Source organism: Homo sapiens, chromosome 1 (genome assembly GCF_000001405.40).
Source record: "Homo sapiens chromosome 1, GRCh38.p14 Primary Assembly".
NCBI classification, from domain to species: domain Eukaryota; kingdom Metazoa; phylum Chordata; class Mammalia; order Primates; family Hominidae; genus Homo; species Homo sapiens.
In genome coordinates this window covers 37,696,536-37,715,480 of record NC_000001.11, presented here as the reverse complement: position 1 = coordinate 37,715,480, position 18,945 = coordinate 37,696,536, and the positions used below count along the sequence as shown (strand labels likewise).

The 18,945-nt window shown below is 46.6% G+C and overlaps 2 protein-coding genes across 7 annotated transcripts in view, besides 1 other annotated feature; one reads left to right on the top strand and one right to left on the bottom strand.

The window, feature by feature from the left end:
- EPHA10 (EPH receptor A10) overlaps positions 1–1,601 on the top strand; it is a 51,241-nt gene extending 49,640 nt beyond the window's left edge. For 3 of the 5 annotated variants that reach the window (XR_946610.2, XR_946613.3, XR_001737125.3), the window contains 2 exons: positions 591–750; positions 1,458–1,601. The gene's annotated coding sequence lies outside the window, so the exon portion shown is untranslated. Of the gene's footprint in view, positions 1–590; positions 751–1,383 lie in introns of all 5 variants that reach the window. The other 2 variants (XR_001737124.2, XR_001737123.2) reach the window with 2 other exon arrangements.
- Positions 3,738–3,938: a silencer, noted in NCBI's record as "peak183 fragment used in MPRA reporter construct". NCBI's record gives its function as "represses an SCP1 promoter by STARR-seq MPRAs in K562 erythroleukemia cells {active_cell/tissue: K562}" and the evidence as "EXISTENCE:reporter gene assay evidence [ECO:0000049][PMID:32103011]".
- Positions 5,762–18,945, bottom strand: part of CDCA8 (cell division cycle associated 8) — a 17,204-nt gene continuing 4,020 nt past the window's right edge. For both annotated transcript variants that reach the window (NM_001256875.2, NM_018101.4), the window contains 7 exons: positions 16,504–16,576; positions 14,960–15,045; positions 13,663–13,727; positions 12,134–12,229; positions 9,914–10,040; positions 8,417–8,503; positions 5,762–7,159 (listed from right to left, as the gene is read on the bottom strand). In NM_001256875.2, coding sequence (NP_001243804.1) covers positions 7,115–7,159; positions 8,417–8,503; positions 9,914–10,040; positions 12,134–12,229; positions 13,663–13,727; positions 14,960–15,045; positions 16,504–16,576 — 579 coding nt within the window. In that variant the 3' untranslated portion in view covers positions 5,762–7,114. The remainder of the gene's footprint in view (positions 7,160–8,416; positions 8,504–9,913; positions 10,041–12,133; positions 12,230–13,662; positions 13,728–14,959; positions 15,046–16,503; positions 16,577–18,945) is intronic.

The window sequence follows — 18,945 nt, the reverse complement described above, 5'->3', positions numbered from 1 at the left end:
TGAGAAGGAGGTCACCCGGCCAGCATGTTCAGGAGAGGGGAGACGTCAGTGTTGGGAGGCACCTGGATGAAGGGGAGCAGTGGGAGATGCCAGGAGGAGCTGTGCCATTGCTGCTGAAGATGAAGTTTTGGTGTTAAATACAGAGAAAAATGGCCGGGTTCGGTGGCTCATGCCTGTAATCCCAGCACTTTGAGAGGTTGAGGTGGGTAGATCACTTGAGGCCAGGAGTTTGAGACCAGCCTGGCCAACATGGTGAAACCCCATCTCTACTAAAAACACATAAATTAGCTGGGTGTGGTGGTGGGTGCCTGTAATCCCAGCTACTCAGGAGGATGACACAGGAGAATCACTTGAACCCAGGAGATGGAGGTTGCAGTGGGCCGAGATTGTGCCACTATACTCCAGCCTGGGTGACAGAGCAGAAAAACAAATAACAACAACAACAAAAACAGAGAAATCAAGTGAAAGAGGAGGGAGGAGTGGCTGTCAGTGTGGGCACTGGGCTATTATCAGTGAGTGTATTCATTTGCTTGGGCTACTGTAACACAGCACCTCAGACTGTAACACAGCACCCATGGGTTTGCCGACAGGGATTTACTGTCCCACAGCTCTGGAGGCTGGAAGCCAAGATCAAGATGTGCGCAAGGTTGTTTCCTGCTGAGAGCTGTGAGGGGAGCTTCTGCTCTGGGCCTCTCTCCCCGGCTTGCCTGTGGCCATCTTCCCACTCTCTCTTCGCATCATCTTCCCTCTGTAAGTCCAAATTTCCCCTTTTTATGGATGCCAGTCATATTGAACCGGTCCATACCAGCCCACCCTAACATCCTCATTTTAACTTAATCACCCCTTTAAAGGGCCTGTCTCCAAGTATGGTCACCTTCTGAGTTACTGGGAGTTAGGACTTCAACATAGAGGCCTGGCGGGGGGCACAATTCAACCCGTAACAGCGACCTTTGTTGTCAGGGCAGAAGCCAGATGAGAGGATTGGGGAGTGGAGTTTGGGAATCTTTGAGGAGTCCAGCAAAAGGAGGAAGAGTGGGCTGAGACAATGACCAGGACAGGCTGCAGGTGTGGGCCAAAGGCTGCAGGGGCAAGGCCTGAGTGCGCATGCATGTGAACACATATGTACTCATGGACACACGTGCACACACACACTTGGACCACATGAGTCCTTGCATGTCTCAGTTGGCTTGCTAGTGCTTCTCCTCTCCCTGGCCCGGGCCATTCATGTTCTTTAGGCTGCGGAAGGCGTCTTCCTCCTCTGCATAGTTCAGGACATGCAAAGTGCTTAGGGCAAGGGGTAGGATGGTGGGGATGGTGATAAATAAGACCCCTTCCCCCACTGCCTGTGCTCAGAGCCAGTTAAATACTAATTCCTTGGGACAGGTGGAGAGCAAAATATCAGCTCTTTGATAAGGCTAACTGGAGAATGTTGCTTACCAAGTTTCTTTGAATCTAAGATGCCATTGAGTGTAAGATGTCCTACCAAGAAAGAAACATCACAGCCAACTATGTTGTGCCATCCAACTGAAAGATGCATCCCAGTTTCAGAGATGTTAACATGTACGTCTTCAATAAATGAGATGCCGCGCATCAGGGACAAAGTATGTTTCCCATCATTCCCCTGAACTAGACCCACCCAGTCCCAGGCTGAGCCGGGTGGGGCAGACATCCACTGCAGGGGCAGAACTGTCCCCTCAGCTCCTGCCTGCACGATGGGAGCAGAGCAGGGTGCACCTTTCTTGTGGGCAAGCAGATCTGCAGAAGCCAGATGGCACTGAGTCAAGCAGGTTGTTCCTTCTGTCCCTCAATTCCACTTGAGAAGCCACCCTCTGGTGGGGAGGAATGAATGAGGAGTGGGTTAGAGATGTTAGCAGCATTGCTCCACTGAAGTCAGCCCCAGGAGAGGCATGCAGCCAGGGAATGCAGGACCCCAGCATTAACACAGTGCCTGGCACACAGAACACAGGAAATGCCCACTCGTTATTAGTATTACTATTATTATTATTATTGTTATTATTATTACCTAGCTGGTGTGAGGCACCAGGTAGACATATAACATGTGGTCAGGAATGGAACTTCTCTAGGCAGTGGGCCTGCTGATCTGGCTTGACAAGGTATTTGCTCATTCACTGCACATGGACCAGGCACATACTAGATGGCTGGCTCTGGCAAGTTAAGGCCTTACTGCCCAATGGGCGAGTCAGTTAAGTAAAAAGTACCCACGCCATGGCAATAAGGATGAATTCTAGGTGTTTTGGGGCTCAGGGGAAGGCTCTGCCTGACTTCATCCCCGAGGAGGTGTGAGCGGGCTCCTAGGGGAAAGTGGGTAGTGTGTTAGCTGTCTTTGGTAGCCAAAGCCTGTGTTCTGGACCTTACAGGAGGGCATCTCAGTTCCTAACGTTACCTCTGCCCCACGGCTCAGGATGTGAGTAAAATTCACACTGCACCACCTGCAGCTCTCTTTAAATCTCTTTGTACCCTTTGCCATTGAAATGGAACTGTCTGCCAGTATCTTGAAAAAATCCTGCTATTTGCAGGATATTTCCCACCACAGTTTACTAGTTGAGCCCCTTGGGGTCTTTGGGCAACAGAGAGAAGCCAGAAGTTGTTTGGGCTCATGAATGATCTCATGTTGCCTATCAGCATCTTGGGAGCGGATTATGGGTATCTCGAGCCTAGTTCCAGGGAATATGTTTGATCAAGACTGCTTGTAGAAGTGTAAGAGGAAAATGAAAAAATCAAAACCAAACTTGTTTCCCCATTGCAGCACCTTTCCTCCCCTTTCATTTAGGCTTCTCCTGGGCCCCTTTTCCTTCCTCCACCCCACAGCATTCCTTTTTTCTTTTTTCTTTTTTTTTTTTTGAGACACAAGTCTCGCTCTGTCACCCAGGCTGGAGTGCAGTGGCATGATCTCGGCTCACTGTACCCTCTGCCTCATGGGTCCAAGTGATTCTCTTGCCTCAGTAAGTAGCTGGGATTATAGGCATGTTCTACCACACCTGGCTGATTTTTGTATTTTTAGTAGAGATGGGGTTTTGCCGTTTTGGCCAGGCTGGTCCCGAATCCCTGACCTCAGGTGATCTGTCCACCTCGGCCCTCCAAAGTGCTAAGATTACAGGCTTGAGCCACTGCTCCCAGCCAGCATTCCTCCTTGACCCTCACCTGGGGCCTTATGAAGAGTGAAGAGGAGGAGGTTTGCCAGGGTGACCTTGGCATTTGATTGGAAGAGTGTATCCTTGAAGATTGTCACCTGTCTCCATCCTGATGGTTCTTAGCATATTGTGACGTATGTGTGCTTGTGGGTACTGAAAATTTGCAGATGGAGCTGGTATCTTGGTGCCAAGGGTATGTTTGTCCTCCACCATATCCACCACCCAAGGATCAGGAAAGATGAACCATGCAGATCCTAATATCAGCTGAGGGAAGGATGATGGCAAAGTGTAGAAGGCAAGAAGTGCACGTTACAGCTGGCAGGGAGGGGACGGTGGAGGCTTGACAGGTGGGGTGATGCAGGTAGGGATGATACAGGGCTGAGGAGATGTTTAATCCCTTAAAGGGAGATGGCATCTTAGGCAAAGCAAATTGGATTCCAGACCCCCCTTTTAGCAGGGAGCCCAGTGTAGCCCCCAATTCTGATTGAATCCTCTCTGAAGAGTGTCTCTCAGTCCTTCCATTTCTGGAGCCACAGGAATTGTATCTACTATGAAAGTTTTGAGTACATATGTCATGCTGAATTTTAGGTATGGGTCAACAGCTATGATACTGTGTAAAATTAGAAAATGGACCCACCAGAGTGTGTACACAGGTAGGCACTGAGACATGCTTTGTTTTTCAGAGGTTTGGGGATACATCGTGGAGCTAAGCCCTGCATTGGTATGTGAACTCATTATCATGGGTCAGGCTGGGGATATTAATTCCTCCTGGTAAAAGGCATGTCTGATGCTTTGGAGAAATGCTTAGGTGATGTCCTGTCACACACGCACATGAGCTAACTCTTCATATGAGTAATATAATCTAACTCGTCACAAGATAATACATTTGTAATCTTCTCAACAGGAAGCCCCAAGTAGGGCTTTTGGAAATAACAGGGGCCCTGTAGGACAAAGAATGAACCTACTGTTGACTGGACCTCTGGGGTTCCTTAAAACTGCCTCAGCGGCCCTGGGGATGGACTCCAGGCCTCCATTCTCCCTTCAACCTGGGGCAGCCCTACTGTTCTATGCTTTCTCTCCACAGCAGACAGTAAAAACTAAATTGCCTACAGAGATAAGGCAGGTAACATCAAGGGAAGAAGTAATCTCATCAGGATTGCTTTGAACCGGTAGAGGATTCTCTGCGGGCCAAGGAAAGCTGCTACTGAGCTCCAGCTGACTGTTGGCCCGTGCTGTCTGATCTTATTTTCAGAGGCTAGCAATCTTTGTGTAATCGCCCGATATTTAAATGGTTAGCAACTAATTTGGGGAAAAAAAAAAACCCAAACCCAACCCAACGAGTATGAAAGTATGTCTGGGGGCTGGCAGTAAGATTTAGGTTGTCTTTGTCCCAGCCCTGTGACATAGTTCAGCCTGTACTTAAAAATCCTGGGATGGTGGGGACATAAGTTCTACAAAATAAATCAACAAAAATACCAAATGATAAAAAACAAAATTTTTTTTAAAAATCCTGGAATGGGGCCGGGCACAGTGGCTCATACCTGTAATCCCAGCACTTTGGGAGGTGGAGGTGGGTGGATCACCTGAGGTCAGGAGACCAGCCTGGCCAACATGGCGAAACCCTGTCTCCACTAAAAGTACAAAACTTAGCCAGGCGTGGTGGTGTGCACCTGTAATCCCAGCTACTTGGGAGGTTGAGGCAGGAGAATTGCTTGAACCTGAGGTGGAGGTTGCAGTGAGCCGAGATCTCACCACTGCACTCTAGCCTGGGCAATAAGAGCGAAACTCTGTCTCAAAAAATCAATCAATCAATCAATCCTGGGATGGGGAACTCTTTACTTTCCAAGCCAGCCCCTTATATGAAATGAAGAACTGCCATGTCTCAGTCCCAGGTGTTAATTAGGCACCTGCTACATAACATGCATTTCCTACTAGGTGATTTAGGCAGTGGTGCAGATGGAATGAAACAGGATGAACCTGGTTCTGGGTAAAGCAGGTTGGATCCTAAGTGTTTCCTTGGTGTCAGGCTCTTTAGGCCTGATGACATATAGTCTGGGTTGCTTATTTGCACTGAGTAACCATTCTTCCAAATGCTGTCACTACCAGAAGATTCCTAGTCTATAAATTGTCAATACCCAATAACCTGGCTAAGTATGCCCCCAGGTTGTCTTCTTTTAGGCAGAACCCTCTTGCATCATTAGCTCTAGGTTGATCATTTTCAGCCTAGAGAGTTCCGGGAAGGCAGATCTGCCAGGGCCTCAGAAACTTTGGGAAGTGAGACTCATGATCACCGAATTACTCTTGCCCCGCTTTGTTCCTGGCCAAGAAAAGTCTACTATACTGGGAAATTACAGAGACCCTAGGTGTTGTCCTCCCAGACACAAATTTCTAGCTCATGGAATGAAGGTGTTGGGGGCGCTCTGCTGGGGGTTGAAGGTACCGATGCTCTGGATCTTGTAGTAAGCCCCTCTTTCAGATATCAGAATGAATCTGCCCAAAGCAAAGGTTTTCACATCTGAGAAAAGCAGATGTGCAAAGACTCCCACACAATTGCTGTCTCCCTAGTCCACAGAGCACAGCTTGGAGAGGACAGGCAGGATGAACAGTGATTACAAAAGAAAACACAAAACCAGAATTTATTGAAAGTAGGTACCAGCTCTGATTAGAACAATCAGCTCAAAGATACCATTACTCAGAACAATATATACAAAAATCTCAGGGAAAGGAGAATAAAAGAACTTAAAAGAATACAACTTGAACAGGACTGTTTTACTAAAATGGTCTTGTTGCAAAATAATAACAAATACCACAGAGAGCCCTACATGAGAAAGCCATGTGCCTTCAAGCCTGGGGATGAGGACTCTAGTTCTCAAATTCTTAGAACATAGCACATGATTCTCCAGGGCAGAGAGGCTGGCTGGAGAATGAGGACCTCACTGCTGACTCTGCTTAACAAAGTCCATGCCCCAGGCACAGGCACACATGGAATGAGGCCACCAAGCAAGTCACACCCACCCCTGTTCCCATGAACCCCATAAGAGAGAAGTGCTCTCTGAAGTCTACAGACTTGGCAGGGACCACTGGACCATGGATAGCTTAGAGACAGTTATTCTGTGGCCAATGACATAAAACCTCCAGAATCTGGGCCCTACAGTTCCCTTATCCAAATTTCCACTAACTAGGGAGGTAGAAGAGCAAGACATGGAAGTTGTCTCCAAACCAGTATTTGGTCTTCAGTAAACAGGGATAAACATAAAACACTGCTCCACAAGCAGACTTCAGAACTACTGGGCACAGCAGGTGAAAGATCCCTAAGTCCCACTGACCACCTCCCACAGGAGGAGGAGGAGGAGGAAGAGGAGGGCTGGTAGGGGGAGGTGTCATGAGTGCGAGAGGGTAGACGGACATGTTCCCTACTGAGGTCACTGCTGCCAACTGTCCTGCTCTGCTGATCTGTACAGTTCCCCCCACCTTCTGGACCTACCCTCTCATGGCCCAGAGCTCACTTATCTGAGCCTAAACCTCCCGGTCTCAAGCATAGAGAGCAGAAATGCCAGATGCAGAGGTTCTCTGGGTAGCGGTGGTGGAGGCAGTCTTCCTGAGAACACAGGGTTCTTCTTCGCCCCCTCAACTGCAGGCAGGGCAGGGTGAAGAGGATGTTGAGTTGCAGGAGGCAAAAGGCAGCAGCTCAGAGAGCAGGGAGGATTCAGCTGGGAGACTGATGGGAAGCTTCCATGGCATGGCCCCAGCAAGCAGTGACTGGGATCAGCTGGGATGGGAGGGTGAACAGACAGCTCTACCTAACTGGTGTGGGACTAGCACGTCTGAATTCCTGAATTCCCTTAGAGGAACATGGCTCCTTGCTCTGGAACTTCACACTCAAACAATAAGCCTGAAGGGAAGAAGTCTCTTCAGGGTCCCAGAAGTGCCCATTAAAAGTCCATCCTGTCAACTTTGGTGTCTCATTTGTGGGTCCGTATGCTGCTGCAGATTTGGGCGAGACGGTTCTAAAAAGAAAAGGAGAGAGGTCATTGTAGAAGATGTCACTTGGCAGGCTTGCCCCTTGGCCTCCCACAGTCAGCCTGAGCCCCTCCATTCTCTATCTGTATCACACATGAATTCACCTTTCTGAACCTGTTTCTCATCTGAACAAGGGAGTAAAATAACAACTCAAGTGAGACAGTAAAGGTATCATAGATTTGAGAAGAACATTGCAATAGATCTAGCTAGAGGATGACAGTCACAAGATTTGGGTGGCTAGGTGTGTGTGGGATCTCAGCACTGGGCCTATGTTCAGAAAGACAGGTTTAGGAAACCAGCCCCGCCTTGTCCCCTTCCTTGGATGTACCCTTCAGACCCCACAGAAGGATGAGGGTAAGGTTGCCATGTTTACACTAAGTGCTTCATCCACCACCCAAGATGATGGCTGACCAGACCAAGGAGGTTCATCCCTGGCGGAGCCATTACATTCTTCAGTTAAATTAAATTGATAATTTACTTTATTTTTAGAGCTGAGGTCTTTCTCTGTCACCCAGGCTGGAGTGCAGCAGCACGATCATGGGTCACTGCAGCCTTGAACTCATGGGCTCAAACAATTTCTCTCACCTGAGCCTCCTGAGCTGCAGGGATTACAGGTGTGTGCCACTGTGCCTGGCCCTCTTCAGAATTTAAACCAAGACAAGAAATTGAACAATTGGGCAATAGAGCAATAAAGTTGGGATTGGAGGTGTGGTTACTCAAAGCCACATGCAAAACAATGTTAAGTAAGCACAGAACCTGGAGCCTGTGGAGAAGGTTATCTGCTGAGGGAGGAATGAAGATGTGTGAGAGAAATGAGCACACAGGCCCCAGCTGATGGGCCCCACCACTCCAGAGGCTTGGCCGTTCAGCTCGCTCTTTGATTCTGTAAGATTCCTGATAACAAGCCCCGACCCTCATTCTTGAGCTACTCTAGGTTTCACTTTCTGGTGGCCAATAGTGACCTAACATACCCCTAGCACTAACTGCCTGAATGAGGCAGAATTTTGATTTTGCAGTGGAACTTCTGTGGCAGGCACCCTGGGATTGAACAAAACTCAACATCAACTGAGGAACAGAACTGCTGCTATCTAAGTAGGGTAAGAGTCAAAATCTCTTGGGGGAAGGAAGACAACACAAATTTAAGTAGAAAGTATTAGCCCAGGCCCAAAAGACAATCCTAAATAAAGGTAGCCCAAGAAAGCTACTGGAGGCATCCTATGTGTGGAGATGAATATGAGACTTACGGAGAGCTTCTTAATGTTTCCCAAGGCCTCTGGATCCAGCTGGGCAATACTGTGCCTCTGCAAGTCACTGGCCAATAATCGCAGGCTCTGAATAGAAAGGGGAGTGGGTTAAACTGGCCATGGCCCTTAGGGCCGGAACCCCTAGGTTCCCCTGATATCCTGCACTTAGTGGTGGGGAATGGCTGGGATGGAGAAGTGGCAAGACAGGCAGGAAGGATATTAGCTCTAAGGAGACAATGACTTCATCAGCACTATCACTAGGGTGGAGGCTGGATTACCTGGGCACAAAAGGCACGCACATCATCTAAGAAATGCCCTGCAGAGTATGTCTGAAACAAACCGTCCTCCCCTCACAGGGGCTGAGGTCAGCAACTCGCTCCATGCAGCCCAGAGACACTGAGCTCAGCTTGCTTCAGAATCCCTTAAGTTATACAAAGCTGAAGGCACAGCTCATGGTCCGGGTTCTAGACTAAGCGCATACCTCGGTGGTGCCCTCCTCTGCACCACCCTTTAACATCTCTATTATTGCGCATATCACAGGTACCATGATTGCAAACCCATCTTGACCACTGAGCTGCTTTCTAAGGGCAGGCCCCATGTCTACTTCTTGGGCCTACTACAATCGGATGGGCAAATGTTAGTTGATGAACAGATGGAGGCCGGGTGTGGTGGCTTGCACCTGTAATCCCAGCACCTTGGGAGGCTGAGGTGTGTGGATCACCTGAGGTCAGGAGTTTGAGACCAGCTTGACCAATATGGTGAAACACCATCTCTACTAAAAATACAAAAATTAGCCGGGTGTGGTGGCATGTGCCTGTAGTCCCAGTTACTCAGGAGGCTGAGGCAGGAGAATCACTTGAACCTGGGAGGCAGAGGTTGCAGTGAGCTGAGATCGTGCCACTGCACTCCAGGCTGGGCGACAGAGTGAGACTCCATCTCAAAAAAAAAAAAAAAAAAGGTGGGCACGGTGGCTCATGCCTGTAATCCCAGCACTTTGGGACGCCGAGGAGGGCGGATCACGAGGTCAAGCAATCGAGACCATCCTGGCCAACGTGGTGAAACCCCCATCTCTACCAAAAATACAAAAGTTAGCTGGGCATGATGGCGTGTGCCTGTAGTCCCAGCTACTCAGGAGGCTGAGGCAAGAGAATCGCTTGAACCCAGGAGGCAGAGGTTGCAGTGAGCCGAGATCGCACCACTGCACTCCCGCCTGGTGACAGAGCAAGACTCCATCTCAAAAAAAAAAAAAAAAAACCCACAAAAAACAAAAACAAAACCAAAAAACAGAAAAACAGAACCCAGAGCTGAGCAACGATCTTTGCAGTCTGGGCCTCTAACCTGGGAGAGAAAACTGGGTTCTGAGTCCCGCAGAAGTGTGGAGATCAGGACCCACGCACTGAAAGGACTCTGAGGGTGAAGCGTGGGTGAGGGCCCAGGGAAAAGAAATGCTTGACTAAGCAGCACACTGTGGCCTGGCTTCCCTTGGAAATACTTCACCTCTCCGCCGCCCACTGGCACAGTGAGGAAGATCTCTTTGCTGTCAGCAAGAGGGCTGCCATTCCCTGAGATGTTGTAAATCCGCTCTCCTGCTGCTGGAGTACGCAGGCCAGGGGTCTTGAAGACCCTAGAATGGGAAAATCTCTGTGAAGATAGCTTGGCAATTGGATGACACCAAACTCTATAGGCCATTTTAACCTTACTCTGGCCTCAAGTTGCAGTTTTTAAGTCATACATTCCTAAGAAAGCACGTTCTAAATTTAGAAAAAAAAAATGTTTTAAAGCAGTAATGACTAAACACAGCTGGAGAAAGAAGGTTGTAATTATTGAACATACATCTTACAAAAAGCCAACTCTTATCCACATAAAGTTTAGGTCCAAAGCTCCATATGGGTGCCATCATCCATCCATCCACAAAGCCAGAAATACGCTGGTTAATTGTTTCCAGGCGTGGCTGCTTCCATCAAGAGGAATTTTTCAGAGGCAAAGGAGGATGATTTAGATATTACATCATTATACTAATTTCTCAAGACAGTTAAAATACTGCTACCTAGTTTTCCCTAAATGCCTTTTGTTACATATTCATGTGAGAAAACAAACAGTAAAGAAAAGTGGGAACTGGCTGAGTGCCGTGGCTCATACCTGTAATCCCAGCACTTTGGGAGGCCGAGGGGGGTGGATCACCTGAGGTCAGGAGTTCGAGACCAGCCTGGCCAACATGGCAAAATCCTGTCTCTATTAAAAATACAAAACTTAGCTGGGCATGGTGGCATGTACCTATAATCTCAGCTACTCAGGAGGCTGAGGCAGGAGAATTGCTTGAACCTGAGAGGTGGAGGTTGCAGTGAGCCGAGATTGTGCCATTGCACTCCAGCCTGGGTGACAGAGCGAGACTCCGTCTCAAAAAAAAAAAAAAAAAAAAAAAAAAAAAGTGGCAATTAAAAGTAGAAAATAAATCTTCAACACTTCCCCACACCAGAGATAACCACTTCTTGCTCTCCTCCCCAGGGGTAACCACTCTGAATTCCTTATCTATCCTTCCAGAAACTTTGTATGTATATAAAACCAAATGGGATCATACAGCACAGTGTTCAGCAACCTGCTCGGAGATGCTCTGTGATCACGGTGCTCTTTCCCTGTCAGCACACACAGATCCAGTCTTTTTTAATGGCTATACAGCATCTCCTATTTGGTCAACTAGGTTCTTTGGAAGGTATTAACTTATGCTGCAAGAATATCCTCGCTTATGCCAGCCTCCAAAAAAGCAGTATCAATTTTTACTTCTACCAAGAGTACAGGAGAGTGCCTACTCATCTTTAAAAAACTGATTTGAGGCCGGGTGTGATGGCTCATGCTTGTAATCCCAGTACATTGGAAGGCCGAGGTGGGCAGATTGCTTGAGCTCAGGAGTTCGAGACCAGCCTGGGCAACCTGGCGAAATCCCATCGCTACAAAAAAACAAAAAATTAGCCAGGCATGGTGGCATGCTTGGGAGCTAAGGTGGGAGAAGCACTTGAGCCCGGGAAGTCAAGGTTGCAGTGAGCCGTGATTGTGCCACTGCTCTCCAGCCTGGGCATTGGAGTGAGACCCTGCCTCATAATAAATAAATATTTTAAAAATAAAATAAAAACCTTCTGATTTGAATCAGAAAAGGCCAAAAACGTCACCTAGAGGCCTCCTAGTCATCACAGGCAGAATATTCACCTCCCTCCCATTAAAGAATCATTTTGCCACTGAAGATAGGTGAAACTACACTTAAGGGAGAGGCATACACCAGGAAACCCAGCTGGCCACTGTCCTCTGACAAGGCATCCCAGGCCAAGGACTCGGGACTATTTTCTTTTCTTTTCTTAAGACAGAGTCTCACTCTGTTGCCCAGGCTGGAGTGCAGTGGTGCAATTGCAGCTCACTGCAACCTCCACCTCCTGGGTTCAAGCAATTCTCCTGTCTCAGCCTCCTGAGTAGCTGGGATTACAGGCGTGCACCACCACACCCAACTAATTTTTGTATTTTTAGTAGACGCAGCGTTTCATCATCTTGGCCAGGCTGGTCTTGAACTCCTGACCTCAAGTGATCCGCCTGCCTCGGCCTCTCAAAGTGCTGGTATTACAGGCGTGAGCTACCGTGCCTGGCCTAGGAGTATTTTCTTAGACACTCCTTCTCTGGGTAGTGCTCAATGTTGGAGTCCCATCAAATCCAAGTGTTTCCCTCGATACTCACCTTGAGTCAAACCTGGGTGTCAGGCCTGGAGTTGGTTTGACCATGGACACCTCCAATCGGCCCACGGCTGGGGTAACAGTGTTAGCACGGCTTGACCTACAGGTAAGAAATGGCCATCAGGTATGCCAACTCTCAGGTTCCACGAAGGCAGCAGCAGAGGAGTGACACGTGGAGAGCTGACTGTGAGATACTGCTCCGGGCGCCTCGCACACATCGACTCACGTGACCCTTCTAACACGGGAGGCCAGCACTGCTGCCATCCTCATACACAGATGCAGAAACTCAGGTGCATCAAGTTTTAAAAACTTGCCCAAGATCACATATCCAATTAGGATGGAGCCAAAACTTTGAACCAAAGTAGTCTGCCTCCAGAATCTGACTTTTTTTTTTTTTTTTGAGACGGAGTCTTGCTCTGTTGCCCAGGCTGGAGTGCAATGGCGTAATCTTGGCTCACTGCAACCTCCACCTCCTGGGTTCAAGCGATTCTCCTGCCTCAGCCTCCCGAGTAGCTGGAACTACAGGCATGCACCACCACACCTGGCTAATTTTTGTATTTTTAGTAGAGACAGGGTTTCACCATGTTGGCCAGGCGGGTCTCAAACTCCTGACCTCAAGTGATCCACCTGCCTTGGCCTCCCAAAGTGCTGGGATTACAGGTGTGAGACACCACACTCAGCCTCAGAATCTGACTTTTTAATCAAGGAGACAGCCTCTTCATGCGAAGGCTCCCCCAGCTGGAATTCTGTCCTTGTGCCAGGCAGCTGCTGCACTGCTCAAGAGAAATGAGTTCGCTCCTCCACAGACATGCATCCCGGTGACTACTCTCCTAAGCTGCTGTACCTTCCCCCACATGGCTTATGGTAGAGTCCAGTATAATCAACTCAAGCCCATAGAGGTTCTTCACTTTGCAGGACTGGACAAAACATTTCAAGAAACCAATTATAGGTAAGTGACAGCCACTCTATGACGAGCTATGGGGTAGCTCTACATATGGACTATCAGGAACTGAAACATAACAGGCAGTTCTTGCTATACTTAAAAAAAAAAAGTGGGGGCTGAGGTGGGTGGATCACCTGAGGTCGGGGGTTCAAGACCAGCCTGACCAACATGGAGAAACCCCGCATCTACTAAAAATACAAAATTAGCCGGCATGGTGGCACATGCCTATAATCCCAGCTACTCGGGAGGCTGAGGCAGGAGAATCATTTGAACCCGCGAGGCAGAAGTTGCAGTGAGCCAAGATTGCACCATTGCACTCCAGCCTGGCCAACGAGATTGAAACTCCGTCTCAAAAAAAAAAAAAAAAAAAAGTGGGGAAGGATAGAGAATGTACATTAAAGTACTGGAGATGGTTTTGGTTTAGGTCATTTCTAGAGACCCCTCCAGCTTGGATACTCAAGGATTCAGTGATTTTAAGCTGCTTTCAAACACTAGCCACCAGAGCCTTTTCACTGCCCCTCACTTTCTGCCATGATATATATGGCTCTCCAATAAAACCCAAAACACCACAACTTTAGAAAATCCACTACCTTTTCCCTTTTCCTTTTCCTTGTATGGACTGAGTTCTCTTCTTGGATGGAGGACACCTTTTGACCTGCAGTCACAATCAAATGAGACTAAGGTTACAAAAAACCCAGCAAAGAGGAAGGTAAGGAGGGTTTTTTTTTTTTTTTTAAAGCATTAAGAACAAGCTTTGGATAGTTAATACTAAATATAATAAGGTGTATCTCAGAATTCAATGACTTAAAAAGTTCAGAACATAACTAATTGAATAAGGACTTCCACTGGCTGGGTTTTCAAAATAGAGGATTTTGACCAAGATTAAAGGTAAATCTCTTTTGAACTGATTGCAGCCTGGCTTGTACCCCACTACTTTACATAAAGGGCTGCTGTGAAGGTCACTCAGGGCGTCCCAGGTGCCCAATCAAAGGCAAACCCTGCAGTGCTCCCTTCCTGGGGCCTGGGAGGTCCCTGGCAAGAATCACTCCTTATCTTCCATATATTCTCTCCTCCCTTGTCCTCCGTGATGGATCTGTCTTTCCTGCTTCTCTAACTTCCTTGGCAGTCTGCCTTAGGAGCTCCTCTCTCTACCCTCCCTCTAGTGTCCACCCTGACTCCCTCCCTTCCTGCTCTCCCTGCACAACCATCTCCACTCCCACACTGGGACAAACACCTAAAGATCTGGGAGGCAGTGTATCTCTCAAATCTCCCTCTTCTCCCTGAGCTCCAGGCTGAAATTTCTGTCTAGCCTAGATGTCCTGGAAAAGTAATGAATGGTCAACATGTCATGCAATTGGCATGTGCTCCACCACCCCCAGTCCAGCACCCTCTGCCACCTGGGTCCCACACCTCACTGGATAGCATTTGCCTTAGCTAGAAACCATGCAGTTGTCTCTGATTCCTCCTTTTCTCCACCAACCATGCCACTTCTTTCTAAAACCTATCTAAAAACCATCCCTTCATTCTATAGTGTCAGCATGTCAGTTCAAGAATTCATAGGCTTCTAACTGGTTTCCTCATCTTCAGTTTTCCGCCTCCCCCATCTATCCTGAATACTGTTCCTCTTCCCTTTCTTCTCTAGCTAGTAGACTCTCACTCACCTTGAAAGGCCTGTCTATGTCCTAGTGGGGTAGGGGAGGCTTGCTAGCTTCCTCTTCTGTGTTCTACACACTTTGCACACCAGTCAATTATCTCTTTTGTCATTGCCATGTAAAGTAGGATCATCTCTACTAAACTGTGAGCTCTGGTGTACAACAGTGTATTTTATGCATTTGTATTTGCTTGTCTTGTGATAACCCCCAGCCTCCAACCTCAGTGTCCACTTACTCTTGCAGTTTGAAGATTCTTACGTTCATTTTCTTCTTCTTCTTCCTCTTCCACTATCATTTCATCTACCTGTATTACCTTTCGTGCTGTAAGAAACAGTTTCAACAGGGTGGTATTTCTGATGAAAATAAAGTTTTGTGCATTCACATTTCTTATAGGAATAAAATGTACACAATCTTAAGCTGCAAGGAAGAAATGGACTAAAAATAAAGAAGACTTTTTAAGAAAGAGGGTTTAGACAAAGGAAACTAACCAGAGTGTTAAGAGACCCCATATGATGCTTTGTAGGGACAGCCCAGCATTCTGAATAATTGAGCTTGCCCTGCCTACTGTAGAGCGTGCCCTGGTGTGTAGCCCCGAAATCCTGGCCATGGGTCAGGATGTTCTTATAAGAATTGGATGCATCAAACTATCATAGCTTAATGACAGTGACATTAAGTCCATGTCACAATTCATCCTGATCCGATTCCTTGCTCACTAGTCAAAACCTGGTTTCCCATACAACTTTTCCTATAAGACAGTGTTTCTCAGAGTGCGGGACATGTATGTAAGATGATTTTATGTGGATAGATCATGGAATTGAGTAACTTTTTTTTTTTTTTGAGACAGAGTCTCGCTCTATCGCCCAGGCTAGAGTGCAGTGGCATGATCTCAGCTCACTGCCAGCTCCACCTCCCGGGTTCACGCCATTCTCCTGTCTCAGCCTCCCAAGTAGCTGGGACTACAGGCGCCCGCCACCACGCCCGGCTAATTTTTTGTATTTTTTAGTAGAGACGGGGGTTCACCGTATTAGCCAGGATGGTCTCGAACTCCTGACCTCGTGATCCACCCACCTCGGCCTCCCAAAGTGCTTGGATTACAGGCGTGAGCCACCACGCCTAGCTGAGTAACTTTTTTTTTCCTTTCCTTTCCTTTCCTTTCCTTTCCTTTCCTTTCTTTCTTTCTTTTTTTTTTCAGAGACAAGGTCTCACTACATTGCCCAGGCTGGTCTTGAACTCCTGGGCTCAAGTAATCCTCACAGCTTGGCCTCCCAAAGTGCTGGGATTACAGGCGTGAGCTACCGCACCTGGCCTGAATTGAGTAATTTTGAATTATATGCAGAGAAAGTCATTCCTTTTTCAATTCGCTTTCAACTTTGTTGATTACATCAGGGAGCGTCTCAGTTGGTGTTACCAGTCTTTTAACACCTCTCTAAATCTTGTCATCTATTTAACCCAGGAGAAAGTAAGCAGGCAACAATGTTTGGTTTCTAGCACAGCTTTTTTCCCCCCTTTTTTCACTTTCATTTTAGCTCGCACACGGGTCTTGAGTTTGGTTTTTAGCAGTCCTGCCTAAAATTAACTAAATTTCTGGTTTGAATTGCTGTTCGGGGGAAAAAAAATTAACTAAATGCACCATCCAAAAGCAAGTTTTTGGATTTACAAGATTAAGAACCAGACATTAAAGGGAAGAGGCTCTACCAACAAGGCGCTGCCTGAGCAGCCAACCAAGCAACCTGAGCCTCAGTTCTTTCTGTACAACAAGGAGTTTTGAAAGGTACTCACTTTTGGCAGATTTCAGGGGTGTCTGAATAGCTTCTGCTGTTAGTTTGTTTATTTCGGTGATATCCAGGTCAGCCTATGACAAACATAGCCAGAAAGCACCAGGCTTATTCCACCAAAATATGAGGAACAATATTTCAAGATAAAAACTTTTTTAAAACTATTATTTAATACATAAGACTGTTAAATGTTAGTGATACAATATACAATATAGCAAACTCCCATAAACCCACCACACAGCCCAAGACCTAAAACATTGCCAATAACTTGCTTCTGGCTCTGTATTCATTCCTTGTTCCATTTTCTTATCTCTTCTTCCAAAGGTGATGAGTCTCCTAATCCTTCATTCCCCAGGGGTAACCATATCATTGCACTTGCTTTATCGAAAGGTACATGTGTATGTGCTCACAGATACATGCATATGTGTGTATACATGTGTGCACACACAGATGTGCTTTTTCACAAGTGTGTACTTAAGCATTTTGTTTGGTTTTGGCTGTTTTCACCACTCTTTGTGGTTGTAGTTAATTTGTTTTCATTGCTATATCATATCCCACTGTGTGAATATACCACAATGGATTTGTCCATCTTCCATCAATAGTTTCCTGCTATTATAAACACTGCTACCTTGAACTGTCTTACATGTGTCTGAGGTACATGTCCAAGTTTCCCCTTGGCTCTATCCTTTGGATAGGACATGACAGGGATTATAGGTTACATAAATATTCAGCCTTCGCATTATGCCAAATTGTTTCCCAAAGTGGTTACCCTTGACTACAGCCCATCTGCAAACAATACAAGTTCCTAATGATCTACATCCTCTACAACACTTGGTGGTGTGTCAAGCTTACCATTTTTTCGATAAATCTACAGGGTCTCAATAAGGTTTTCTATGATGATCCTGGGTCCTTCAAAAAGGCTTCCAGTCACCATTCAAATTCGTTTTTTTTTCATATGGTAATAAGTATGGGCACTACAAAGAGCAGTCATGATTCACAGTCCTTTCCTTATAGAACACATGTAAACATCAGAATAATTACTACAGGTTTGGAATGGCACAGGTTTCATTTCTGGTAGGGACTGCTTGACATACTCAGAGAAGGATTCTGAGGCTGTCTTAGGCTTAGCAAGAAATAGGGCTGTAATAAGTTACTGATGTTTGCCAGGCTTGATGCAACAGAAAGTAGGGGCATTCCTGCCAACCTTCTGCCATCTCTAGAAACAACTGGCATTTTATGGAGTCATCAGTGGTGGCAGGCCACTGGGCATCTACTGTGCAGGACAGTTAACAGAGCAGGCCTGAGACTGATACACATAGAAAGGCCTGTTTGCAAGCCTGGCCTCGGTTGGCATCTGGGAACTTGATTTCAGAAAGATTCCCACCTTTCCTTAACAAGATGCCTCACTGTGCCTAAACTTTATGCAAACAATATGGCTCATGCTGAACACCTACTTCCCTCCTGAAAGTCTAGGATTTTGACATGTGCTAGGCAGAGGATGCCTATGTGAGCAGCCCCCAGTTAAAACTCTGGGCATTGACTCTCTAATCAGATTTTCTGGTAGACAGCATTTCATATGTGTTGAATTAAGCATGTTCTGTTTGACTCTACAGGGAGTGGACTCCTAGAAGCCTGGTTTCCTCTGGACTTTGTCCTATGCAATTTTCTCCTTTGTTGATTAATGCTTTGTATACTTTCACTGTAATAAATCATCGCCATGGGTGTGACTGTATGCTGAGCCCCATGAATCCTCCTAGTGAATCACCAAACCTGGAGGTGGTCTTGGGAGCCCCAACACACTTCCCAACTAAGAGCTTTTATAGATTTTCTATCGTTCCTTTCTGGAGTTTTAAATCATATTAGTCAAGGCTAGAATTCTCTCAACTTGGTGTGGTAACAATGGCTCTCTCATATTACATTAGAAGTTCTCATTTGCAGTTCTGTATTTCTAATTTAAAAAGAGAGAACTGCATTAGCTAGTAAGCATAATTCATCTCAGAGGTAACTCTTTTAAAACATTGGAGCTCAGTGTATGTAGGGGGGTGAATAATCCCCACCTCTCTCCCAAATGCTCCAATTTTTTCCAAATTGATAATTGGCTCCTCATTACCTTTACCTTCTGAATGAAGCTGGCGGAGATCTGCTATGTGCCCTTGGTGGTCAGACTCCTTCAAACCCTGATATTCCAAATGATTCTGATCAACTCAACAAAAGATGTAATTTTGGGGTTTACTTTGTAAATCTGATCAAGGCTACAATAAACTAACAGAAAGATACACAAATGCGTGCATACACACGCATTGTTTGTATATTATTTTAGAGTGCCTAGGGACTCTGTGAAGCCCATGTATGGACTAGTTCCCAATGCTGTCTCATAAAACTTTCTGCAAGAGTAGCAATGTTCTATTTCTGTGCTCTCTGATGGAGTAGCTACTAGTCATATGTA